The sequence below is a fragment of the Homo sapiens genome, chromosome X (assembly GCF_000001405.40).
Source record: "Homo sapiens chromosome X, GRCh38.p14 Primary Assembly".
NCBI classification, from domain to species: domain Eukaryota; kingdom Metazoa; phylum Chordata; class Mammalia; order Primates; family Hominidae; genus Homo; species Homo sapiens.
This window is the reverse complement of record NC_000023.11, coordinates 130,126,615-130,152,942: the sequence shown is the minus strand read 5'-3', so window position 1 is coordinate 130,152,942 and position 26,328 is coordinate 130,126,615. Positions and strand designations below refer to the sequence as shown.

Genomic DNA, 26,328 nt, shown 5'->3' with positions numbered 1-26,328 from the left:
AACTACTCTTACTAGGTATCATACACTTACTCTAGCTTCTGTTCTCTTCTATTTGTGTTTGCGTCTAATGCTGGTTGCAGCCTACTAAATTGACTTCACAGCCCACTAATGGCATGCAACCACAGTTTGAAAAACACTGATTTCAACAGTGCTTCTGCTGCTCGGATTGTAAATATGAACTTCTGATTCGCATTGATGTGAGAGTTTTTCCTCTTTTTGCTGGTAACTTTCCCTAGGACCTGAGGCAGATTCCCAAATCTCAGTCCTCTATTTTTTGTTGGTGGGCAGAGCCAAAGTGGCCTTTAGAATAGTTAATGAGATTTAGTATTTGGGCCCTTTGCTATTGTTAAGCTATAGGATTGCATTGCCTCACTCAGAAAATGACCTGTTTCCTTTCAAATCCCATTAAGTTGAATAAATGCCACCATATTCATCTGTTTAGAAAAGTTGTCTTCACTAATATTTTTCATAAATTTGTAGTCTTTCTTAACCTGACATGTATTCATGTCATTAATTGGAAATCTGTGCAAACTAGGAGTACAGAAACCCTTGGGGGAAAGGTAAAGAAATAAATACATTTATATATATATATCAGACAGATCGACCTCATTCTTGCCCTTTCCCCACTAAACCTCTAGATATTTCTTGGTCTGCTCTTCCCTTCATGTGTGAGCCATTAGCAAGTGTGAGCTGGGCTTAGGCTATTTTGGGATATTCCTCTCAATGAACATGGCCCCTGTTTATTTCTCTTTTCATTCATGTTGACCAGAGTAAGCCATCTTTTTAGGTAAAACTTTTCTTTTTTTTCTTTTCTTTTTTCTTTTCTTTTCTCTTCTCTTCTCTTCTCTTCCCTTTTTTGGAAAAGCTTTCCCCTCTAGGTTTTTTTTGTTGTGTTTTTGTTTTTGAGACAGAGTCTCGCTCTGTCGCCCAGGCTGGAGTGCAGTGGTGCAATCTCGGCTCACTGCAGCCGCCACCTCAGGGGTTCAGGTGGTTCTCGTGTCTCAGCCTCCCTAGTAGCTGGGATTACAGGCGTGCCCCACCACACCCAGGTACTTTTTGTATTTTTAATAGAGACGGGTTTGCTCTTTTGGCCAGGCTAGTCTCGAACTCCTGGCCTCAAGTGATCTCCACAACTTGGCCTCCCAAAGTGCTGGAATTATAGGCATCAGCCACTGCGCCTGGCTAAAGTCCCTTTCTTAAAAGAAATGTTTTTAAGATATGAGTAAATACTGGACTTGTGTATAGTATCTGATACCAAGATAAAAACTCTTCCTGAAATTAATGTTAATTGAATTCATTTATTCGATACATTTAGTAGTAAATTCAAGGAGTAACTATTGTCTTTTCCCATACAGTACTTAACTTTCTACTTCATTTGTCACAACGTTAAATGCTTCCAGGTTGAACCCAGCTCTCAGGGTTCAGGTTCCTCAATTGCAGCACATTGCCTGATGGGCTGTTCTGGAAGGAAGTCATAGAAGTATTCTTAGAATATGTTTTATGGGGCCGGGTGTGGTGGCTCACGCATGTAATCCCAGCACTTTGGGAGGCCAAGGTGGGTGGATCACAAGGTCAGGAGTTCAAGACCAGCCTGGCCAACATAGTGAAACCCCACCTCTACTAAAAATACAAAAATTAGCTGGGCATGGTGGCGTGTGCCTGTAGTCCCAGCTACTCAGGAGGCTGAGGCAGCAGAATCGCTTGAACCCAGGAGGCAGAGGTTGTAGTAAGCCGAGATCACGCCACTGCACTCCAGCCTGGGCAACAGAGTGAGACTACATCTCAAAAAAAAAAAGAAAAGAATATGTTTTATGATAGTTCCTCTGATTGTCTTTACTTTCTCCTACAATTAATCTGAGATTTCATTTGACATATGTTCACCTAAATTCCTGTTTTGTTGACCCTGTGGGGTACAAAAGAGCAAAAGCATTGTAGGTTTTTCTTTTCTTTTTTTTTTTTTTTTTTGAGACAGAGTCTCACTCTATCGCCCAGGCTGGAGTGCAGTGATGTGATCTCAGCTCACTGCTGCAACCTCCACCTCCTGGGTTCAAGCAATTCCCATGCCTCAACCTCCCAAGTAGCTGGGACTACAGGCGTGCATCACCTCACCCAGCTAATTTTTGTATTTTTAGTAGAGATGGGGTTTCACCATGTTGGCCAGGCTGGTCTCAAACTCCTCACCTCAGGTGGTCTGCCCACCTCAGCCTCCCAAAGTGCTGGGATTACAGGTGTGAGTCACCATGCCCGGCCAAAAGCATTGTAATGTTAAGTCATTCTTGCCTACCTTTTCTTTAAAAAGTCTCCAATAGGCCGGGCGCGGTGGCTCACGCCTGTAATCCCAGCACTTTGGGAGGCCGAGGCGGGCAGATCACGAGGTCAGGAGATCGAGACCATCCCGGCTAAAACGGTGAAACCCCGTCTCTACTAAAAATACAAAAAATTAGCCGGGCATAGTGGCGGGCGCCTGTAGTCCCAGCTACTTGGGAGGCTGAGGCAGGAGAATGGCGTGAACCCGGGAGGCAGAGCTTGCAGTGAGCCGAGATCCCGCCACTGCACTCCAGCCTGGGCAACAGAGCGAGACTCCGTCTCAAAAAAAAAAAAAAAAAAAAAAAAAAAGTCTCCAATAAACTCTGGTACTGTATGTTAAAAAAGAACAACACACAACTGGTCATAATGGTAAAATTACCCTTTTCCAATTTGAAAGGATAGAGAAGATAGAATATTTGAAATGTAACAGGTGTGTTTAAGCAAGGTGTTTGACCCCCTAGTAAATATCTGTGTGTAGTTTTTCTGAATGAGATTCCTTCTACCTCGTGAGTTTAAGAAAAGGATAGACCATTGAGGGAATGATGGGTAACTCTCTAAAAATAGAATACAGGCAGCCATGTTTCTGACCACTGTGTGAGTACTTAGCAAAAGCCGGAATGTTGACCAGGAAAACTTATGTCCCAGCTTCCTACCCGGGACCCTATAGATTGATTTCACAGCTAGTGTCCAGCGTAGTCCAAACCCCGTTTCTGTGCTTCATATATAGATTAGCCCTTTCTAGCACTTTATTCTTCTAGTATAAAATGATTTTTTCTTTTTTCTTAAACTGTACCTTCAGAATAAAATATGGGGAGAATTCTTTATAGAGAGCCTAAAAATCTGAAACTGGAATATTTTCATCTGCTTACACATATTTTTTCCATACCAAGCATGTGCACACCCAGTATTTTTTATTTCTTAAGAAAACAACTTTGTCTTAGTGGTTTTGACATAGAGGAACTAACATCAGATAGACAAAAGCTTCTCATTTAATTGAAAGATAATATTACTTACAGTATGAGCTAGCTGTATGGTGAAATAAACTTTCTCCATGTTTGGATCCGCAGGCCTACAAGACTATGAAAGAGGATGAAAAAAGATACAATGAAAGAATTTCAGGGTTAGGGCTGACACCAGAACAGAAACAGAAAAAGGCCGCGTTATCTGGTGAGTATTCCCTTAAGTCTTGCTATGATTTGAGACTCACAAAGGGAAAGTTATAAACAGTTTGGGTGCTGTGATTTATGGATGTCTTGTAGAAGCAATGGTGGTATGAGATTGCAAGCATCTAGAAAGTATGGTATTACCCTAGAACTGGGAGTGATTTAAAGCATTTGGCTGAAATTTGGGTTTGAGAATAAAGCTAGTGATAATTATGATTGGTTGTTTATCTGTATATTAATATTAGTCTCTTGGCTGGGCACGGTGGCTCACGCCTGTCATCCCAGCACTTTGTGAGGCCGAGATGTGCGGGTCAGCTGAGGTCAGGAGCTCAAGACCAGCCTGGCCAACATGGTAAAACCCCATCTATACTAAAAATACAAAAATTAGCCAGGCGTGGTGGTGCACGCCTGTAATCCCTGGTGCTCGGGAGGCTGAGGCATGAGAATCTCTTGAACTGAAGTGGCGGAGGTTGCAGTGAGCCAAGATCACGCTGCTGCACTCCAGCTTGGGTGACAGAGCAAGACTCTGTCTAAAAAAAAAAAAAAAAAAGTCTCTTAAAAGGCAAGCTTAGCAAGGAAAACTATTGGAAAAGATGGAAAAGAGATGAAAACCTTTTTTTTTTTTTTTTTTTTTTTTTTGAGATGGAGTTTCACTCTTTTTGCCCAGGCTGGAGTGCAGTGGCCCGATCTCATCTCACTGCAACCTCCGCCTCCTGGGTTCAAGCAATTCTCCCGCCTCAGCCTCTGGAGTAGCTAGGATTACAGGTGTGTGCCACCATGCCTGGCTAATTTTGTATGTTTAGTAGAGACAGGGTTTCACCATGTTGGCCAGGCTGGTCTCAAACCCCTGACCTCAGGTGATCCGCCTGCTTCGGCCTCCCAAAGTGCTGGGATTACAGGTGGGAGCCACCACGCCCAGCCGAAAGCTGTTTTTTAAATGAGGAAATTCTTCTAGTCTGTTTTGTTCCCCTTTTGAGTCTTTGCAGTTTCGAGTTGCTAAAGGTATATTTGCTTTCCTAAAGCACATACCCTAGCCATCACTTCCATTTCACATGATTCACTTCAATTTTCAGAGAGGACTGTTTTAATCCTTTAATAAGCCCCACAACTCTGGGTGGGCAATTTGTTCTGCTTTTTTCAAAAGCACCCCCTTATTCTTGAACATTGTATGATAATCCCCAATTGACCTCCTGGATTTTCTCCCTTTGTTGCTAACGGAAGGTGAAACTGAGCCTGATATTTTCCTGGTGATCACTAGGAAATTGATGGGAAGGGCAAAAGCCTACTGATGTATACTTTCTAAATGTTTTAGAAGTAACTAAATATTTAAGCTATGTCCTAGTACCAGTTCAGACCTGATGAATGAATGACATTGGTGAAATCATTCTCCTATTTTTCACTTATGAAATGAAAGGGATACTTGCTTTTCCTCTCCCATCAGGATGCTGTGAAGATTGTTAAGATTAGCGTAGGTCATATGTTTTGCTAGCTTTATGTGGAGGATTGAGACAAGTGCAAGGTGATTTTTTTTTAACAGTGGCAAAGAATCATCTGAGACTTCAAGAAGATTCATCCAGTCTGTTCTGTTGCTTTCAGCTTCAGAAGGAGAGGAAGTTCCTCAAGACAAGGCGCCAAGTCATGTTCCTTTCCTGCTAATTGGTGGAGGCACAGCTGCTTTTGCTGCAGCCAGATCCATCCGGGCTCGGGATCCTGGGGCCAGGGTAAGGTGCATGTTTTTTTGCTTGGCACAGAGGGTACAGTCTGCAAGCATTTAGCTAATGTGAATGCTTTGACATTTGCCCCTTAAATGACTTGGCTCTGATAAGCGTCATGATTTTTATGTCTGAAGGTACTGATTGTATCTGAAGATCCTGAGCTGCCGTACATGCGACCTCCTCTTTCAAAAGAACTGTGGTTTTCAGATGACCCAAATGTCACAAAGACACTGCGATTCAAACAGTGGAATGGAAAAGAGAGAAGGTGTGTTTGCTTATGTAAAATGAGCCTATCAACTTCAGCTAAGCACAGAGAATAGGTTAGGATTTTGCCACTGACTGTGTACAGTAATAGGAGGGATGGCTTGGCTGTCCACTAGAGTCTACTGTGGTCCACACTTGGTACAGCTTAGAGATAACAGTCTACAAAGGGCAAGAGTCCTGGATTCTGTTACCAGATCTACCAACAGTTGATGGTGTAATGTTGGCCTCTGAAATACTAATGCTCCTATTTCTGGAACCTTTATGTTAAGCTTCTTTAGGTGAAGATCAACTTGGCCTGTATTGTCACTTCTTTTTTTATTTTTATTTTTTGAGATGGAGTCTTGCTGCTCTGTCACCAGGCTGGAGTGCAGTGGCGCAATCTCAGCTCACTGCAACCTCCACCTCCCGGGTTCAAGCAATTCCCCTGCCTCAGCTTCTCAAGTAGCTGGGATTACAAGCACGTACCACCACACCCGGCTAATTTTTTGTATTTTATAGTAGAGATGGGGTTTTATCACATTGGCCAAGATGGTCTCGATCTCCTGACCTCATGATCCGCCTTCCTCGGCCTCCCAAATTGCTGGGATTACAGGCGTGAGCCACTGCCCCCAGCCATCACTTCTTTATACTTGCCTAGACATGTCCTACAAGAGCAGAAGAAAAGAAACTTTTTAACGGCACTCTCTTTGACAGCCTAGCAGGCATTTAGAATTTCAGGAGTAGAGTAGGAAGGCTGTAAGGAAGAGCCTGTGTTAGAATTTTTGCACGACAGACTTGGAGATACAGGTCCAGAAGCTTTTTCCTTTTGATGGACAACTTAGATCTCAATTCTAGTACCATGTTCTTTGGGTTCCAATTTTTTTTCTCATTAGTGACCCCTTTGATACCTGACCAAATTTTACAAACTTACCCTTTTCCCTCACCCCCACTAGTTCCATTTTCAAACAGGATGTATACTTTCAATTAAGTTAGTGGCTAACTTTATATGTATACATATGCATACACACACACACACACACACACACACACACACACACACACATATTTTGAGAGACAGGGTCTGGCTCTGTCACCCATGCTGGAGTGCAGTGGCCGAATCATAGCTCACTGCAGCCTCAAACTCCTGGGCTCAAGTGATCCTCCCACCTCAGCCTCCCGAGTAGCTAGGACTACAGGTGCGTACCACCACGTGCCTTTTATTAATTAAAAAAATTTTTTTCTAGAGACGAGATGTTGCTATGTTGCCCAATCTGGTCTCAAACTCCTGGCCTCAAGTGATCCTCCCAACTTGGGCTCCCAAAGCACTGGGGTTATAGACCTGAGCCACTGCACTCAGCCAATATTAATATATTAACTAATTAATATTAATATATCATAGTTGATAACTGCTTGAGGCAGAGTCTTCTCAGGAGCTATAATTAGTTGTTCCATTGAAGAGCACCATTCTGGACAACCCATTTGGGTGGATATGTGAATACCAGCTCTTTGGGTGCTCCACTTGTTCTTACTTTGAAATGAACCTAAATCTAGAGCAGGATCCTCAGCCTCAGCACTATTGACATTTGGAGCAGGATAACGCTTTGCTGGGGGTGGGGAGCTGTCCAGTGCATCATAGGATGTTTAGCAGCATCCCTGGCCATTACCCACTGGATATGAGTAGCATCCCTACCCAAGTTATTACAACCCAGATTGTCTCTGGACACTGGCAAACATCCCCTGGGAGCAAAATTGCCCCAAGTTGAGAACCACTGATCTGGATACCTGTATGTAAGCAAGTCATGACCATGATTTAATAGACTTGGAGACTTACTTTGGAAAACGTCCCTTAAAGTTTCTGATAATGGAAACAGTTTTATTAAAGCTACGGGGGAAGCTGATAACAGTTCCACATGCTTATAATATTCTCCCTCTCTTCTCCATACAGCATATATTTCCAGCCACCTTCTTTCTATGTCTCTGCTCAGGACCTGCCTCATATTGAGAATGGTGGTGTGGCTGTCCTCACTGGGAAGAAGGTGAGCTAGTAGACCGCTTCTTTTGTCAGGCTCTACGTACTTGCCCACCAGCCAGTATGGTGATGTGTGTTTCCATTACCATTTATGTCTGTCCTGCCATTGTAGTTCATCAAAGAAGGATCGAGCTGCTTTAGGTTTAATAATGCTGAGTGTGTCTTTCTGGGGAAAGCACTAGTATCAAAGCCTAGGTTAGCATGCTGACTCAACTTGACCCTAAAAGCTGTTATCTCTCCTATTTGCTCTTCTGCCCTTCCTCATCCTTCCTGTTTTCCCACACTAACTTCTCTCTGGGATTATCGATGAGAAAAGATTGACAAATATGTATTACTCATAGTAAAATAATTTGGGCATAACTCAGCACGGAATATATTGTTAGACTTTAAAAGGTGAGTGTCTGAGTAATAAGGTCAGTTATTAGCAGGTATTTGTGGAGTCCCAGGATGGTTTTGTTATATTTTATTGTTGTTAATGGCAGGTACTAGAGTGTGTGTGTAAACTAATGGCAGTGTTCCAATAGGGACGCATTCTCTGAAGGAGCAAAGCCCAGAGTAGATGAGATACACAGCATAAGTGGAAGGATTGTCCTTCGTTAGGAACATACTCACTTCTCCTGTAAGGGGACATTAGACAGAGAAGATGGATATAGGTTTGTTGATAAGCCGGTAATGAGACATTTAGTGTCCCCTATGTGTAAACAACATTCAGGCCCTGCCCTCTAGGGGCTAACTGTATTAGGCAGAAACATAAATACATAATCATAACACATAGGTGTGTAGTAAGAGAGATCTGCGCAGTATGTTGTGGGAAATACTGGGAAGGGTGCCCAGTAGAGTGATGACATCAGGAAAGGCTTTCTGGAGGAGAAGGTCTTACAGAATGGGCAATCTTATGGAATGAAGAGGCATTCACCAGACTAGAGAAGACTGAAGAGCATCCAAGTAAAAAAGAACAGCATAAGCAAAAGCACAAGGGCACAAAAAAGCATGTTTGGTGCCAGGAAATAGAAGCAGCTCGATACTGATAGAGCAGTTAGGTACAAGTTAGGAAGTGGCAAGAGATGAACCTGAGAAGTTATGCAAGGGGCCTGATTGTGGAGGGCTTTGCGTGAAAGAGCTTTTTCTGCACTGGGGAGCTGTTGCATTTTAGGCAATTGAATTTTAAATAATCACCATTGGCCGTGAGGAGGATGGATTTCAGTGAGACAAGACTAGAGAGAGACCATTTCAGAGATTATTGCAATAATCTAGGCAAGAGATGATGAGAGCCCAAATTAGAATAGTAGTGGTATGATGATGATGAAGAAGAAGAAGAAAGTAAGAGGTAAAATTTGTATAGTACCTATTCTAATCTTGTAAGCACAGTTCTTAAATGCTTTATGTGCACCATCTCATTTTATCCTCCCAATAATCTTATGAGGTAGGTATTATTTCCCTCTTACAGAGAAATAAGTTGAAATTTTTAAAAATAAATAAATTTTAAATAATTTGCCTAAACTCACATAGCTAGTAAGTGGTAGAGAGAGAATTTGAGCCCGGGTCTGTCTGAGCCACAGAATTGGAACCCAGCTATTCTGATTCCAGAGCCTAAGCTATTAATAACATCAGTGTACAGTGTACAGTACTTTTTTTTTTTGAGACAGATTCTCACTCTGTCGCCCAGGCTGGAGTACGGTGGCATGATCTCAGCTCGCTGCAACCTCTGCCTCCCAGGTTCAAGCGATTCTCCTGCCTCAGCCTCCCAAGTAGCTGCATGCGCCACCATGCCTGGCTATTTTTTTTTTTTGTCTTTTTAGTAGAGATGGGGTTTTACCATGTAGGCCAGGTTGGTCTCGAACTCCTGACCTCAGGTGATCCACCCACCTCGGCTTCCCAAAGTGCTGAGATTACAGGCATGAGCCATCGTGTCCAGCCAGTATTACTTCTTGATAGAAAGGTGATGAGAAGTAGGGAACACACTTGAGGCATGCTTAGGAGTCATGCTTGATGAGGCTTGGTGGTTGGTTAAAGGTAGAAGATGAAGGAGATGGAGGAGGCAAAGATGATTTTCTAATTTCTAGCCTGCATGTCTGAGTGGATGGCAGTGTACCCACAGCTGAGAAAGACATTACAAGAGGAAGAGCTAGTTTAAGGGGGAAGATAAAATTCAGTTTTGGACCATTAAGTATGAAGTGGAATATCTGCGTGAAGGTGTCTTCTGGGCAGTTGGACATATGACTGCCACGCCCAGGGGACTTGGGCTCAGATAGAGAGCTGAGAATCATCTGCATATGTGTAGAAGTTGAAACCATGAGAGTAGGTGAAGCCTCCCAGGGAGAACTGATCTGGTGAGAAGAGGAGGAAGGCAAGGATAGAGCCCTGGGGAACCCCAATTTTTAGGAAGCAGGCTTAAGAAGAACCCACAAAGGAGACTAGGAAAGAACTTAAAGAGCAGTATGAGGAAACCTGAGGACAGGAGCCAAGGTTGTAGGGAGTTTCAAGAAAAAGAATGTGATCCACAGTGTTACCGTGGCAGAGGAATCTGGGAAGAAAAGAACCGTAAAATGCACTGTGAGATTTGGCGGTTCAGATACCTTTGGGAGGCTGAGGCAGGTGGATCACTTGAGGTCTGGAGTTAGAGACCAGCCTGGCCAACATGGTGAAAACACATCTCTACTAAAAATACAAAAATTAGCCAGGTGTGGTGGCGCACACCTGTAATCCCAGCTACTCAGGAGGCTGAAGCACGAGAATCGCTTGAACCCAGGAGGCGGAGGTTGCAGTGAGCCAAGATTGCATCAGTGCACTCCAGCCTGGGTGACAGAACAAGACTCCATTTCAAAAAATTAATAAAATAAAACAGATACCATTGGGAAGTTAGAAAAGAGGGTAAAGCACTCTTTCAAAAGATTTAAATGAGAAAAGAGAGATGGCAATCGGATAAAAGCGTGAAGAGGACATAGAATCAAAGGTGGGACCTATTGGATGGGACAAGCATGTTAATAGGCTGGACGGGGGTGGTGGGGAGCCCTCATGCCTCATGGGAAGCTATGGAAGATCACATCTAATGGCTTCATTTGTTTTTGCAATACAATAGAACATAAGATGGTTATCTGAGAGCGAACACCGTGAGGGTTGAGTAGCGGGATTGGATTGAAGAGGGAGCTTACCAAGGACAAATCAAAGGAGGCTAAAGAAGCTGCTTATCCATCAGATCTCAGTTCATGTCATTGCCTCTAGAAAGCTTTACCCAACCCAACCTGACTAGATTGCACATGTCATATGTTCCCAGCGCTACCTGCACTGTTCTTACCACTTACATCACATTTGTCACTCTTGATTATTGTTAGTGCTTGTTAAATTGTCTTGGCCACTAAACTCTGAAAGCAGCAAGGATCACTGTCTCAACTTGATACATAGTAGGTGCTTAATTGAATGGTCTCAGCTAGTAAAGAGTGGTGCAAAGACTGGGGCCCTATTCTCTCTGACTCCAAAGCTCAAGCTCTTAACCATAAGAAGGAGTAGGGTGCAAGGGAATTAAAGGTACTGGCAAAAGAACAGTTTGGGTGTTCTACCATTGGCCCAAATTAGTTAGAATGGAGCAGCTAGTCAAATAAACAGAGAAAATTGAAAGCAAGCATAGGAGACAGACTGAGCGAAAGCTGAAGGGATGGAAAATTGTGACCAACAAGTAGAATAATTGAGGTAGGAGGAGAGGTTTAGGAGATAACAAGATGAGGAAAAGTATGAGCCAGGTTCCAAGGTCTTCAGTGAATCAGGAGGAGTAGCCAGGAGGTGGCTCAAAACAGTGATTCGTAGGAATATAGGACTCCTCTGATGTCCCTCAGAAGAGAATGAAAGTACAAGAATCTGGAAGCAGCAGACCAGTAACCTCAAGAAGCTTGCAGAATGCCAACACCTCCTCCTGGCCTTGTGATGTGGAGTGTGGGGGAACGAACAGCCTCTATGTGTAAGCTCTCCTTAAGAGAGAGCCAAGTTTCCGTGAAGGCTACAAGTTGGAGAAAGCATTCTGTAAAAATGTTGTAGATGTAGGAGACTTATTAATAAAGTAATAATAAGTAATTCCAAACAGCCATATAAGAAAGGCTGTTCCGATTCTCCTTTTCCACACATGGGTCAGGGCTTTGGGACTGTCATGACTTGCTCTAATGTTGCCTGCCTTCTCATTGCCAATTTCCAACATATGACTGCCTAAAAAAACTGGGTACCAGAAACTGTGGTTCCCATGATTACTTGGATATGGTTTCTTAAGGATCGCTTTAGGTCAAGAACTCATTCTTCTTATTGGGCTGACAACTTTTTTTGTTTTTGTTTTTGTTTGTTTTTGTTGTTGTGGTTTTGGGGTTTTTTTGTTTTGTTTTGTTTTTGAGACAGAATCTTGCTCTGTTGCCCAGGCTGGAGTGCAGTGGCATGATCTCGGCTCACTGCAACCTCTGCCTCCCAGGTTCAAGCGATTCTCCTGCCTCAGCCTCCCCAGTAGCTGGGACCACAGGCATATGCCGCCACACCTGGCCAATTTTTGTATTTTTAGTAGAGACGGGGTTTCGCCATGTTGGCCAGGCTGGTCTCAAACTCGTGGCCTCAGTGATCTGCCTGCCTCAGCCTCCCAAAGTGTTGGGATTACAGGCATGAGTCACTGTGCCTGTCCTGGGCTGACAACTTCTTATTGACCTGGAGTTTTGGGGTGGTGATGGAAATGTTCTGAAATCAGATAGTGGTGATGGTGGCACAACCTTGTGAATATACTGAAATCCACAGAATTCCACACTTTAAAATGGTGAATTTGATGTGAATTATATCTCAATAAAACTTTTTCAATGCTAATTCATCTCTACCTCTTTTGTGTATGTGTGTGACTGTACCAGGTAGTACAGCTGGATGTGAGAGACAACATGGTGAAACTTAATGATGGCTCTCAAATAACCTATGAAAAGTGCTTGATTGCAACAGGTGAGCATTTCTGGAGATGGCTTTCTTCCCTGATACAGCTCATTCAAGTTTTAGAGTCCAGCCTTCTCTATGGAAGGCATTACTACTTAAGAAAATGGAAACCCAGACTCTCTGAAGTGAGTGTCTTCTCTTGGTACAAAAGCTGGCTGTGTCAAAGCATCCTGGATCACCAGCCCTTCTGGATGATCCTTGCTGTTCTCCCGGTAGAGGCATGAAGAAGTTGCCCTTTTTTCTCTCCCTGCTTAACCCTCACCCTGTGCCCTGTGCCTTGAAAGTGATGTCGTTTGTGGCTTCATTGCCAGTTGCAATCAGAAACCAAGAGAGGAGACAGAAGCAATTTATCAAACCCATGTAGCTATGCTAGCTGGCAAATCCTCATGAGAAACTAGAAGAGAACATGGAAGCCAAAAGTAAGGCCTTTTGGCCACCTAGGGGCAGGGTGTACCCCTTGAAGACAGACTCTCAAATCTGCTTCTCAAAGGAAACTGACAGAAAGCCTGCTGTGAGGCAAGCTGAAGGCAAACAAAGCCTTGGTATCCTATCCTGTTGTTGCCGCCATGGTGCTAAGTGAAGAGGGCTCCACCTTTGTGTGGTGGAGGGAGTATTGTTTGGGCTGGCTCCTGCTTGTTGGGCTAAAGGGTTTTCCTTCTCTTATTTCCAGGAGGTACTCCAAGAAGTCTGTCTGCCATTGATAGGGCTGGAGCAGAGGTGAAGAGTAGAACAACGCTTTTCAGAAAGGTAATTGTCTGCTTTAGTGTTTTCCTTGTGTTGTTTTTGAAGAAGTAGTATAATCTTGCAGTCCCCAAGTGCCCACCCGGGACTTGGGAGATCCAAGTTCTATTTATGGCTCTTCTCCAGACTTGTTATCTGGCCTTGAACAAGTCACTTCCTCTCTCTGCACCTCAGATACCTCACTCAAGGGTTTTAAGCTCCTAGGGAAAAAATGGAGTGTTTGTATTGCTTGCAATAGATCCTTCTGATTGCTCTTCCATAGTTGTTTTTTCCTGATGTGTTTGATTCATTGGAACCCCTTACAGCCTCTTGGCATTTTTCATTGCAAGTGCTGTGTAGAGACTTCTGAGAAAAAAGTTAAGAGTACCTAAATAAAAAGCAAGGAGGTGTTCTGCTTCTTAACACTGTGCTTATAAAAACTGCTGTCATTTTTCAGGGATAAGATTTGTCCTGTCTTTTTTTTTTTTTCGAGACTGAATCTCGCTCTATCACCCAGGCTGGAGTGCGGTGGTGCGATCTTGGCTCACTGCAACCTCCGCCTCCCGGGTTCAAGCGATTCTTGTGCCTCAGCCTTCCAAGTAGCTAGAATTACAGGCATGTGCCACCACGACCGGCTAATTTTTTTTTTTTTTGTATTTTTAGTAGGGACGTTTTACCCTGTTGGCCAGGCTGTGTACTGTCTTTTAAGTTCTTCCTAGAACAAGGCTTGTCAGCCTCTGCAGTATTGGCATTTTGAGCTGGATAATTGTAGTGGGGGCTGTCTTATGCCATTGTAGTATGTTAGCAGCATCCTGGCCTCTGCACACTAAATGCTGGGAGCACCTACTTGCCCTGACAACCAAAAATGTCTTCAGATATTGCCAGATGTCCTCCTGGGGAAGATAGGGACAAAACTGCCACCAATTGAGAACCACTGTTTATAGAAGGAATTTTACCATGAAGAAATAAATTTGCATTAATAACATAGAAGTTATAATTGAGTCACTTTATACAAGGAGAAAATTTACTTTTGCCAAAGATTTAGAAGAAACTACTTTCTAGTATTATTATCCTATGCCCCTTTTGGAAATTAATGGACTAAACTGATGTGATCCTGCAGATTGGAGACTTTAGAAGCTTGGAGAAGATTTCACGGGAAGTCAAATCAATTACGATTATCGGTGGGGGCTTCCTTGGTAGCGAACTGGCCTGTGCTCTTGGCAGAAAGGGTGAGTATTGAGGAGTGACCTTGATTTTCTTTCTCTAGTCTTATATAGCTTTTCTGTGAATCCCAGAGATGTGTTTGGCAGGATCAGTAGGAAGAGTTTAATTAAGGTTTATTTATTTATTTTTTTTTGAGATGGAGTCTCGCTCTGTCACCCAGGCTGGAGTGCAGTGGCGCGATCTCGGCTCACTGCAAGCTCCGCTTCCCGGGTTCAGGCCATTCTCCTGCCTCAGCCTCCCGAGTAGCTGGGACTACAGGCGCCTGTAACCACGCCTGGCTAATTTTTTGTATTTTTAGTAGAGATGGGGTTTCACCGTGTTAGCCAGGACTGTCTCGATCTCCTGACCTGGTGATCCGCCCACCTTGGCCTCCCAAAGTGCTGGGATTACAGGCGTGAGCCACCACACCCAGCCTAATTAAGGTTTATATAGTGAAAAGCTAAACACTGAGATTAGTTCTGGTGAGGGATCCCTTGGTGACCAAAAAGCTGTCACCTGAGCAACTTAACAGCGATGCTTTTTTTTTTTTTTTTTTGAGATGGAGTTTCACTCTTGTTGCCCAGGCTGGAGTGCAATGGTGTGATCTCTGCTCACCACAACCTCCGCCTCCCAGGTTCAAGCGATTCTCCTGTCTCAGCCTCTGGAGTAGCTGGGATTACAGGCATGCACCACCACACCTGGCTAATTTTGTATTTTTGGTAGAGACAGGGTTTCTCCATGTTGGTCAGGCTGGTCTTGAACTCCCAACCTCAGGTGATCCACCCACCTCGGCCACCCAAAGTGCTGGGATTATAGGTGTGAGTCACTGCACCTGGCCAACAGCAATACTTTCTTTCCTTTCTTTTCCTCTACCCTCTATGCCAGGACTCCTTAGAAATAAAATATTAAGGAAAGTGAGTTATGAAGATGATAAGGGCAATGCAGACTACAGAATTATGGGTGTCTTTGAACTGCTGCTTCCTGTAAAATGCCAAAAACTTCTTTGGGCACATGATGGTTCCCAGCTTGAGAGATCTGTGAGCTCCAGTTGGAATGTTTCATGGCAACTAGTTTTCTTAATGTTCTTTTTCAGATATATGAAATCAGGGCATCTTTTCAGGAGGATGCTTCCTATTCAGAGGTTGCAAAGCACTTATGTAAGCCTTAGGTGACTGCATGGGTGGAAGTGCACAGAGTTCACCATCTGAAGCTTAATCTGGGGCCAGCAGTTCTGATACCTGTTGTATTTGCGTTACAAATGAACTTGAGCACCGAGGCCCTCATGCCCACTGTCCTGTAAGTGGGCGCTCGGCCTGGATTGCAGCTCTGCCCTGTCTGTAGTGAGGGCTGCCTGCTGCTCCTTTACTTCTCTTCCTGTATTCCTAGGATTGACTTTTGCTTCCTGCTGTAACTACTCTGTTTCTTCTTCCCAGCTCGAGCCTTGGGCACAGAAGTGATTCAACTCTTCCCCGAGAAAGGAAATATGGGAAAGATCCTCCCCGAATACCTCAGCAACTGGACCATGGAAAAAGTCAGACGAGGTAGAGAGACTGTTTCTATATGCTGCCACTCTATTTCCTTTGAGTGTGACCTAAGGCAAACTTCGCTTCTATAGGAACCCCCTTGACATAAGCCCTATCACCTGGCCTGTAAAATGTTTCCACCATTCTCCAGTCAGCTAAGTTCATCTAGGTGTTCTGAATCAGATGCCCCAAATTCCTGGAAGTGCTGAAAATGAACCATGGGTGTAGGTTCTTGCAGCTCTCCAAAACTGCCTGTGTACTGATAATTGGTTTTACCGTGGAGGAGACCGCTGGTCAGCTTTCCTACTTCCCATGAAAGTGATAGCCTTGTAGGCTCACTCTCAGGTCTTGTTTGCCTTTACAGAGGGGGTTAAGGTGATGCCCAATGCTATTGTGCAATCCGTTGGAGTCAGCAGTGGCAAGTTACTTATCAAGCTGAAAGACGGCAGGAAGGTAAGGAAGGAAAAGATAGTCTGCCAAGAGGCCTTCCAGTTCTCCACTCCCCTTGCCTCATTTTTACTCCTTCATTTGACACCAGTAGATTAGTTTTCCTGGCAGTTGCCATTAACCTGATATAATTTTCCGAATTAACCATCCCTCCATTAAAACAGAATGATGAGAGCCAGAGTAGGCTCCTGTGAACCACTTTCCCTTAGCCCCATTCTATCTGTCTCACAGAGTTTTGAGTCCTGGCTAGGGTGGCAGATTTCTGTTCGAATGACATGGGGGATGTGCATGGGATGGGGTGGTGGAGGCTTATGAAATAGAACTTAAAATCCATTTATCAGAGGTAAGTTAACCCATGATTTTTTAAAGTCCCAATTCTTAATGGCATGAAGGGCCATTGTTACGCCTGTAGGCATAAATGGAAACTGTGGTAATTGACTGAATTATTTCTTTTTTGCCTCAGGTAGAAACTGACCACATAGTGGCAGCTGTGGGCCTGGAGCCCAATGTTGAGTTGGCCAAGACTGGTGGCCTGGAAATAGACTCAGATTTTGGTGGCTTCCGGGTAAATGCAGAGCTACAAGCACGCTCTAACATCTGGGTGGTAAGTGTGCTACAGCATGACCAGGCATAATTCATTCTCCCTAGCCTGTGAACAAGTCTGCCCGGTGGTGTGCTAAAGCTCATCAACAGCCTAACCAAATAGGGTCAGAGTGTTTGGAGGCTGAGGGTACAGAATAGAAATGTGTGAACTGCTTGATTCAGAAGACCAGGTATGGCCTCATCTGCAAGCTAGTGGCAGATGAAATGAACAGTGTGCATGCCTGCAGGGGTAGAGCTCTTCCGGTTCTACTTATTGGCAGCAGCTACTGGCATAACCCCTGGTGGGCATGCACATAAGCCTTCAGATGGATCTGCTGTTCCCTTTGCTCAAACTTGAATCCGGAGGATGGAGGATGAAGCAATGTTATAACCTGTTCCCTAGAAAGGAAAATTACTCTGTTTTCATTTTCCTTGAGTACTATTTTTAGCTGTTTTTTACAATCTATTATGACATAAACAAGACTATAGTATGTAGGAACCATGAGGTAATTTCCCCATTGCTAGTTACAAGTGTATTGTGTTTGTTTATGGACTCTGCAACTAAGGACGTAGGTACCTTGGAGGAATTTTTTTCCCCCTCCAAACCTTGTTTTTTTTTTTTTTTTTAAAAAAAAAAAGATGTACTGGATCTTTTTAACCTGTTATAAAAGTAATACGTGGGCCAGGAGAAGTGGCTTACACCTGTAATCCCAGCACTTTGGGAGGCTGAGGCAGGTGGATCACTTGAGATCAGGAGTTTGAGACCAGCCTGGCTAACATGGTGAAACCCTGTCTCTCCTAAAAATACAAAAATTAGCCGGGTGTGGTGGCACAGGCCTGTAATCCCAGCTACTTGGGAGGCTGAGTGAGGCAGGAGAATCACTTGAACTAAGGAGGCAGAGGCTGCAGTGAGTGGAGATCATGCCACTGCCCTCCAGCCTGGGCAACAACAGAGCAAGACTCAGTCTCAAAAAAAAAAAAAAAGTAATATGTGGTCAATGTAGAAGACAGACAAGAAGGAGAGAGGAGAGGAAAGTCACCTGCAGCAACCATTAATATTTTGGTGTATTTCCTTCCCTGTGTTTCCTTGCATGTAGGTTTTATTGTTGGTTTGTTTTATTCGTGGCAAGCATACTATATATAATATTCTGCTCTTTTCCACTTAACACCATAAATGTAAGCATTTTCTATGTTGCTTCAGACTTTGTAAACAGTTTAATGACTATATATTCCATTAAGCGAATTTCACAGTTTACGGTTGCTCACTCGTTGGATTTTTAGGTTGCTTTGGGGGAGTCTAAATAGCCACAAAGATGAACAAAGGGTTAGAGAGCTCAAATGCCACATCCTTCATGAAGCTGGTCCAGTTCACCCCCGGCTGGAGGTTCTCGCCCTCTGCTTGAAATACTTGACTCCTTTAATCTGTACCTCTCATATGGCACACTACTGTTTACATTGCTCTGTAGTTGTGAGCAAGGCTGTATCTTTCTGTACTAGGTTGTATGCTCCTCATAGTCAAGGTCCATGTCAGTTTTGTCTCAGCAACCCGGACAACATAATACTTTTGTATATAATAAGTACTCCATAAATATTTGTCGAATGAATGAATACTGAGTGACAAAAAGAAATCTAAGAAAACATTTCTAGGTGAGAGGCAGTCACATCCAAAAACTGGTTTCTACATATAGAAAAGAATATTCTGCAAATCATGGTTATTAAATATCCTGTCTGTTAAGGAAAGAACAGGAAGTAGACATAAGTAAACAAAACTATAGAAGATTTAGGTTAGCTTTATGGAAGCAGAATAGATTTTTTTTTCTTTTTTTTTTTGAGGCGGTGTCTCGCTCTGTTTCCCAGTCTGGAGTTCAGTGGCACGATCTCAGCTCACTGCAACCTCCGCCTCCTGGGTTCAAGCCATTCTCCTGTCTCAGCCTCCCAAGTAGCTGGGATTACAGGCGCTTGCCACCACACACGCCTAATTTTTTGTATTTTTAGTAGAGATGGGGTTTCACCATATTGGCCAGGCTTGTCTCGAACTCCTTGTGATCCACCCACCTTGGTCTCCCAAAGTGCTGGGATTACGGGCATTTGCCACTGCACCTGGCCTGGAATAGATGTTTTAAAATGAGATCTCAGGCCAGGCGTGGTGACTCATGCCTGTAATCCCAGCACTTTGGAAGGCTGAGGCAGGCACATTGCTTGAGCCCAGGAGTTCAAAACCAGCCTGCGCAACATGGCAACACCCCATCTCTACCAAAAAAAAAAAAAAAATTTAGCCAGGCATGGTGGTGCATTCCTGTAGTCCCAGCTACTTGGGAGGCTGAGGCGGGAGGATCATCTGAGCCTGGAGGTCCAGGCTGTGGTGAGCCATGATCGCACCACTGCACTCCAGCCCAGGCAATAGAGTGAGACCCTGTCTAAAAGAAAAAAAAAAAATTTAAATGGGTTATCAGCTGTTTTTGTTAGTTTAAGTACAACTCTGGCCTGTAGATGGAAAACATGAATTAGTTACCATTACAAGTGTTCTTTGAGCCCCCAAAGTTTATATTTTGTCTTTAACTTGCTTTTTTTTTTTTTATCATGTGTTCATGTTATGTATTTGTTTCCACAGGCAGGAGATGCTGCATGCTTCTACGATATAAAGTTGGGAAGGAGGCGGGTAGAGCACCATGATCACGCTGTTGTGAGTGGAAGATTGGCTGGAGAAAATATGACTGGAGCTGCTAAGCCGTACTGGCATCAGTCAATGTTCTGGTAATAGTGGTGTGCCTTGGAGACCCAACTGATTACAACTCAGTATCTCTAGGACCATAACACAGAGTTATGGTTTGGTTTTATTATGAGCCAGTTAGCTTCATACAGAAGGGAAAAAAGTCCATCTTATGTCCACACATTCTACCCTCAGGTAGCCATCTGGCAGAAGTGTCCTGTTTAGTTTTTCACCAAACTGATCCTTTTGTAAAACATTAAAAGAGAAAAAAATTATTTTAAGTGTTCTGTCTGGCGTATGTTAGACTAGGTGAATGAATGGAGATGGCACCAGCACTTCCGGCAAAATAGGTCAGAGGCCGAGGTGGGCGGATCACGAGGCCAGGAGTTTGAGACCAGCCTGACCAACATGGTGAAACCCCGTCTCTACTAAAAATACAAAAATTAGCTGGACGTGGTGGTGCATGCCTGTAATCCCAGCTACTCGGTAGGCTGAGGCAGGAGAATTGCTTGGACCCAGGAGGTGGAGGTTGCAGTGAGCCGAGATCACACCACTGCACTCCGGCCTGGGTGACAGAGCGAGACTCCGTCTCAAAAAAAAAAAAAAAAAAAAAAGGAGTGTCAGAAAGCATTCCAGTCCTAAAAGATGAAGGCTGGTCTGGTATGGTTGCTCATGCCTCTAATCCCAGCACTTTGGGAGGCCAAGGCCGGGGGATTGCTTGAGCCCAGAAGTTCGAGACCAACCTGGACAACATAGCAAGAGCTCGTCTGAATTTTTTAAATAAAAAGTTTTTAAAAGTTAAAAAAAAGAAAAGTGGAGGCTAAGGGGAAATACTGTAGGTTAATGAAGCCATAAAACATCTCAAATTCTGAATTCCATAAATGTGGAACACTCTTTAAAGCTTCAAAAAGGGAATTTCAAGACAAAAGTAGTGAATAGCAAAAGTGGGAACCTCATCACTTTCCAAATGTGGCATGGGATAAAAGCACGAATAAATTCAAGAACGTTTCAATCACCGCATGGATATGTGGTCGTGTATAATGGCTTTTTAAGGAAAAGTCAAAGCTATTAGGGTTAATCTTACTTTCTCATGGTCATCCCTAGATGCTCTAGCAACAGCAGATCAGTTGGCATCTCTCGTGATCTGCATACTAAGTTCTTTGGTTGGCATAAGAGTGCGGTGTTGGTCGGGTGCGGTGGCTCACATCTGTAATCCCTGCACTTTGGGAGGCCAAGGCGGGCAGATTACTTGAGGTCAGGAGTTCAAGACCAGCCTGGCCAACATGGTAAAACCCCGTCTCTACTAAAAATACAAAAATTAGCCAGGGTGGTAGTGGGTGCCTGTAATCCCAGCTACTCAGGAGGCTGAGGCTGGAGAATCACTTGAACCCAGGAGGGAGAGGTTGCAATGAACTGAGTTCGCACCCATTGCACTCCAGCCTGGGCAACGAGTGAAACTCCGTCTCAAAAAAAAAAAAATGCAGTGTCATGGAGAATATGTGCTACCGTGTCATTCCTTACAGTCCCTTGACAGAACACCCTCTTCTCTCTTCTTAGGAGTGATTTGGGCCCCGATGTTGGCTATGAAGCTATTGGTCTTGTGGACAGTAGTTTGCCCACAGTTGGTGTTTTTGCAAAAGCAACTGCACAAGACAACCCCAAATCTGCCACAGAGCAGTCAGGTAAGAAAGTCCTAGCACTCCTCTTGGAGAGTGTTGAGAAGCAGTGGTCCAGATTCTCCTGAACAAGGGGTTTCTGTATTGGCCAGAGGGGCTTGTCAGTGAAAGCCTCTCTTCATGTTGTGCTTTAAAAGAAACCAAACCCCAAGTCCTCACTCTTTAGTGGTCTGAGATTTGGCAAAATCAGGTATCCTGGTCAAAGCATAGATTCAAATATTGTGGGTATCTGTCCTAGACAGTGGACAGTGGCTAGCTCAATGACACTGCTGTTTTGTGTGTCTCTGGGAAGACCTTTCTAAGGAAGAAAACAAGAAAACCTGAACTTTTTAGATTGCGTTTTTATTTTTCTTTCTTTCAGTTGTCATTTTTATTATTTTGCTTCAGGCGAATCTCAAGAACACGGCCTGATAGGCTTAGCTTAAGACTGGCTATCCTCCATGGGTCCTGCGCAGGGAGGAACTGGGCTGAGTAGTTATTTAGCTGCCTCCCATTCCATTTGGCAGATCTTAGTGCCAGGTTTTCTTTAGATGGGAGGCACCTCTCTTGGAATGGACTTCTCTCCCACACATGTCTCTTTCATTAACTCCGAGACCTTATTCCTTGACCTTAGCTCAAGTTATTTAACTTCTGCATCCTTTTGCCAGAGGTGTCTCAAGGGCAAGGTGCTGTTTAAGAAGGAGAAAGCAAGACATTATATGGATATGTAGGTCCTTTTCCTGTGTAATTCTAATGTATTCCATATTCCTTAATTCTGATCTCTCCTAGTAACCTAGTAAGTGGATTCATGTCACTGCTTTGTCGACTGGACAGTATTATTTGGAGGCTGGTGGTTCTCAGCAAGGTGCCCCCTTCCTATGCCACCCTTCCCTTCCCCTCTTTCTCTAGGAAGAAATGCCTCCACTATGGTTTTTCCAAATGGAAGTGCCTTCTGCTTTGTCTAAAGTACCTGTCTAATAGCACTGTCCAATAGAACTTTCTGCTGCGATGGAAATGTTCCATCTCTGCTCTGTCCAGTACGTTAGCCACCAGCCACATGTGGCTTTTGAGCTCATGAAACATGGTGAGTACAGATAAGGAACTGAATTTTACATCTTACTCAGTTTGAAATGATGTTCATTTACATGGCTGTGGCTAGTGGCTACTGTATTTGGACCATGCAGCTCTAGAATTATTTCTTAGAGGACAAGAACCAGCCTTCTGCAGTTTGAAGAAATCCAGATACCAGGAAATATTCATAGCATGAATTTAAAATGAGATAATAAGGGAGGGAAGTTTAGGGTCAGACTGACCCTGTGCCCAGGAGCTGGCAAGGAAGACCTTTCCTTGGCTTTGTCACTGGAGAGGGGCTGGTGAAGGCCAGGGTTTACTGAGGGGGCATAGAGAAATAAATCCTCTAGAAGTAGCTTGAAGCAGGCCTCGAAAGACTGTTGGCTTCTAGAATTTCCCAAGCTCATAATAACTGAAGTTTTGATTTTGCTTCCATGTTTATTTGTTTTGGGGGCTGGCCACAGGAACTGGTATCCGATCAGAGAGTGAGACAGAGTCCGAGGCCTCAGAAATTACTATTCCTCCCAGCACCCCGGCAGTTCCACAGGCTCCCGTCCAGGGGGAGGACTACGGCAAAGGTGTCATCTTCTACCTCAGGGACAAAGTGGTCGTGGGGATTGTGCTATGGAACATCTTTAACCGAATGCCAATAGCAAGGAAGGTAGGTGCCTGTCATAACTCTTAGAGGAAGATGGGAAGTACGGCTTAGAAACATTCCTGTAACTTCATCGGGTGCCCTGAGATGCATTGTCCCCCGGCCAGGTCAAATTGTGCCTGAGCAGAACAAAGGTATAGCCTTGGCTCAGGAACATTCTTTTTCACTTGGGACTTGGCTGGGTGACCTGGGAGTTGGCAGGCTGCTTGTTTGGGGTTAGTAGAGAACTGTTCCCACAACTCCCTCCCAGTGTGATATGGGGACTGCCCCAGGTAGCCCCATTGTGTGGGCATGGCCTGAACGCAATGGAGTAAGTTAGGGACCTATTGTTACTCTCTCTCCCTCAGATCATTAAGGACGGTGAGCAGCATGAAGATCTCAATGAAGTAGCCAAACTATTCAACATTCATGAAGACTGAAGCCCCACAGTGGAATTGGCAAACCCACTGCAGCCCCTGAGAGGAGGTCGAATGGGTAAAGGAGCATTTTTTTATTCAGCAGACTTTCTCTGTGTATGAGTGTGAATGATCAAGTCCTTTGTGAATATTTTCAACTATGTAGGTAAATTCTTAATGTTCACATAGTGAAATAAATTCTGATTCTTCTAAATTAAATTCTGTTCTCTTGTCAAGGGGGCAGGTGGGTGAAGGTGGAAAGCCACGCATATTAGAAAGCAAGCAAATTGCAGCACCGACCAAGCACAGGATTTTTCTCAGCCATGTATTCATGCCCTACTCCAGACGCAAAACTCCTTTCATTTCCGAACTTCCCTCACCCCTCCAGACCTCTTTGCACACACCTGCTGTGGCCTCGGCCCACAACACTTGACTCCCCTCCTCTCCTCTCAGGAAGTTCACTATCTCTGAAGACTTTCCCAGCCTTCCAAGCCTCATCCTTGTGTATGTGTCTCCCTGCTAGCCCATGACTTCCTGGAAGCAGAAGCCCTGATGTTAAGGCCTTGCTCATGGTTTTATCTCCAGAGCTTAGCACAGGGTCTGCTTCATAGTAAGTGCTTCATAGATCATTGTCGAATGAGTGAACAAATAAATGTATGGAATAGACTTTGTTTACCTGGAACAACTCCTGTCCCAGAACTGGATTGGGTCCTGCAGGGGACAGAAAGGGCACTTACTACAAATCTGAGTTCAGAGACCTGGTGCTTCACAGTTAAACCTGGAGACGGACTCATGGAAGGACCATCATCTCTTGACTCTTCTGCCTGCTGTCCTCATGCCAGACATCTGTCCTCTCTTAAGCTCCTTTTCTCTGAAATACGCTTATGGGCATACCTCACTTTACAGATTATTTCCTGGGAATACGATTCAAAGTTTCACAAGTCAACTCATTGTTTGGCATTTTAGATTGCTTAACTTTTAAAAATCAAATCTTATTATTATTATTTTGAGATGGAGTTTTGCTCTTGTTGCCCAGGCTGGAGTGCAATGGTGCGACCTAGGCTCATCACAACCTCTACCTCCCGGATTCAAGTGATTCTGCTGCCTCAGCCTCCCAAATAGCTGGGATTACAGGCATGCGCCACCACGCCTGGCTAATTTTGTATTTTTAGTAGAGATGGGGTTTCTCCATGATGGTCAGGCTGGTCTCAAACTCCCTATCTCAGGTTATCTGCCCGCCTCGGCCTCCCAAAGTGCTGGGGTTACAGGTGTGAGTCACCGCGCCCGGCCTAAAAACATCAAATCTTATTTAAGAGGAATTTGTTACTACTTTCAAGAGTCCTGTTGTTAAACTCCATGTATATAAAGAGAAAATTATTACCAGTCTGGATTTTTTTTAAATATTGGGTTTGATTAAGGGCAGTTTCAGCTTCAACCAAATCCCTTCTGAACACTGGGAGAACAGGCCAAATCTCCACCGTAAGAATTTGCAGTACAGGTATACCGAACAATACTATATAGATACAGGTTTACTCAAATGTGATCATATCCAAATGATATATCCAAATCTATATGTAGAAAACTCATCTAGGGTTGCGCACAGTGGCTCACGCCTGTAATCCCAGCACTTGGGGAGGCCAAGGCAGGTAGATCACCTGAGGTCAGGAGTTCGAGACCATCCTGGCCAACATGGTAAAACCCCATCTCTACTAAAAATACAAAAATTCGCCAGGCATGGTGGCATGCACCTGTAGTCCCAGCTACTCAGGAGGCTGAGACAGGAGAATTGCTTGAACCTGGGAGGCGGAGGTTACAGTGAGCCAAGATCACACCACTGCACTCCAGCCTGGGCAACACAGCAATATTCCATCTCAAAAAAAAAAAAAAAAGGAAAACTCATCTAGTATCCTGTGACATCGAAATTATTATACAGCAGTAATTGCTGCTTACAGAGATGGGGGTAAGACTAAGATCCTAGTGTTCCACAAATCATTAAGAAAAGATCAAATTGTGATTTGTCTTGCTTTAGTGTTGTATACAGTTTTGTCAAATTCTTTGACAGTAGTTATCCTTGTATAGTATGTCATTGTAGTTCAGTGGATTGAAATTAAATGATCTATTCATCTAATCAGTGTTCATTGGGTGCCTCCTGTGAGCCAGGTAGATGTCAGAATAGAAACATAGATAAAACATAGCCACTGCTTTTAAGGACCTCCTGGTGTCCGTGAGGAATGCAGACATGTGGATGCAGAACTCCAATACAATGAGCTACGTCCACAGAAGGACACAAAAAGTACTGTGGCCATGCCAAGAATGGAGAGATCAGCCACAGCAGCCATCCTGAGTCAACCACTGCTATTAGACCACTTCCTAAAGCCACCACTTGGTCCATGTCCCCTCCCTGTTTAAAAATGTACAGTGATTCCCTGTCACCAACCACATCAAGTTCAAAGTCTCCTGTAGTACTAAGCCCACTCTGTTTGGCTGACTTTCCGCCTGACTTTTAATATGGACATACACACACACACACACACACACACACACCTGGTTTATTGCCACCTTTAAACTTGTGTTCATGCTCTTCACATCCGGAACGCCATCCCTCCTCCCTTTATCTATCCAAATCCTACTCATCTTTCAAGGCCTACATCAAGTCCTGCCTTGGTGGCATGGTACCAGTTGGACTAGTGCCCATGCATGATTTCTCTCTGAACTCCAGTTGCACTTAGCACCTTTGAGTGTAATTGTTCTTTAAGTCATTCTAAAGGAATTGTCACCTGTCCCAGAGCAGAGCCCATGTTTTCTTTTCAGGATGGGGACCATATTGCTGCACCCTGGTGAAGTGCTGAGCAAGTCCTTGGTTGATTGGCTGGATGATGCTAGATAACAGGGCTGACTGTAAAAATGCACCTCTGTCTTGTAACCTCTGATCTCTGTAATTCAGGTTGTTTATGGGAGGATGTTCA

At 44.0% G+C, this 26,328-nt stretch overlaps 2 protein-coding genes across 6 annotated transcripts in view, besides 1 other annotated feature; one reads left to right on the top strand and one right to left on the bottom strand.

The window, feature by feature from the left end:
* The window catches only part of AIFM1 (apoptosis inducing factor mitochondria associated 1), a 36,480-nt gene extending 12,899 nt beyond the window's left edge, over positions 1–23,581 (top strand). For 2 of the 5 annotated variants that reach the window (NR_132647.2, NM_001130847.4), the window contains 15 exons: positions 3,375–3,474; positions 5,067–5,191; positions 5,320–5,450; positions 7,374–7,464; positions 12,326–12,410; positions 13,072–13,148; positions 14,242–14,350; positions 15,418–15,620; positions 15,758–15,865; positions 16,212–16,300; positions 16,758–16,898; positions 19,488–19,630; positions 21,144–21,268; positions 22,777–22,973; positions 23,315–23,581. Coding sequence is in view for 4 of the 5 variants with exons in the window: in NM_001130847.4 (NP_001124319.1) it covers positions 3,375–3,474; positions 5,067–5,191; positions 5,320–5,450; positions 7,374–7,464; positions 12,326–12,410; positions 13,072–13,148; positions 14,242–14,350; positions 15,418–15,425 (726 nt within the window). In the remaining variant the exon portion in view is untranslated. Of the gene's footprint in view, positions 1–3,374; positions 3,475–5,066; positions 5,192–5,319; positions 5,451–7,373; positions 7,465–12,325; positions 12,411–13,071; positions 13,149–14,241; positions 14,351–14,902; positions 15,866–16,211; positions 16,301–16,757; positions 16,899–19,487; positions 19,631–21,143; positions 21,269–22,776; positions 22,974–23,314 lie in introns of those variants that run through there. The other 3 variants (NM_145812.3, NM_004208.4, NM_001130846.4) reach the window with 2 other exon arrangements.
* Positions 1–26,328, bottom strand: part of RAB33A (RAB33A, member RAS oncogene family) — a 74,248-nt gene that overhangs the window by 31,928 nt on the left and 15,992 nt on the right. The window lies entirely within an intron of this gene.
* Positions 5,456–6,655: an enhancer, noted in NCBI's record as "MED14-independent group 3 enhancer chrX:129280263-129281462 (GRCh37/hg19 assembly coordinates)". NCBI's record gives its function as "activates an origin of replication core promoter dependent on BRD2, BRD4, P300/CBP and CDK7 cofactors, and independent of MED14, by STARR-seq in HCT116 cells {active_cell/tissue: HCT116}" and the evidence as "EXISTENCE:reporter gene assay evidence [ECO:0000049][PMID:35650434]".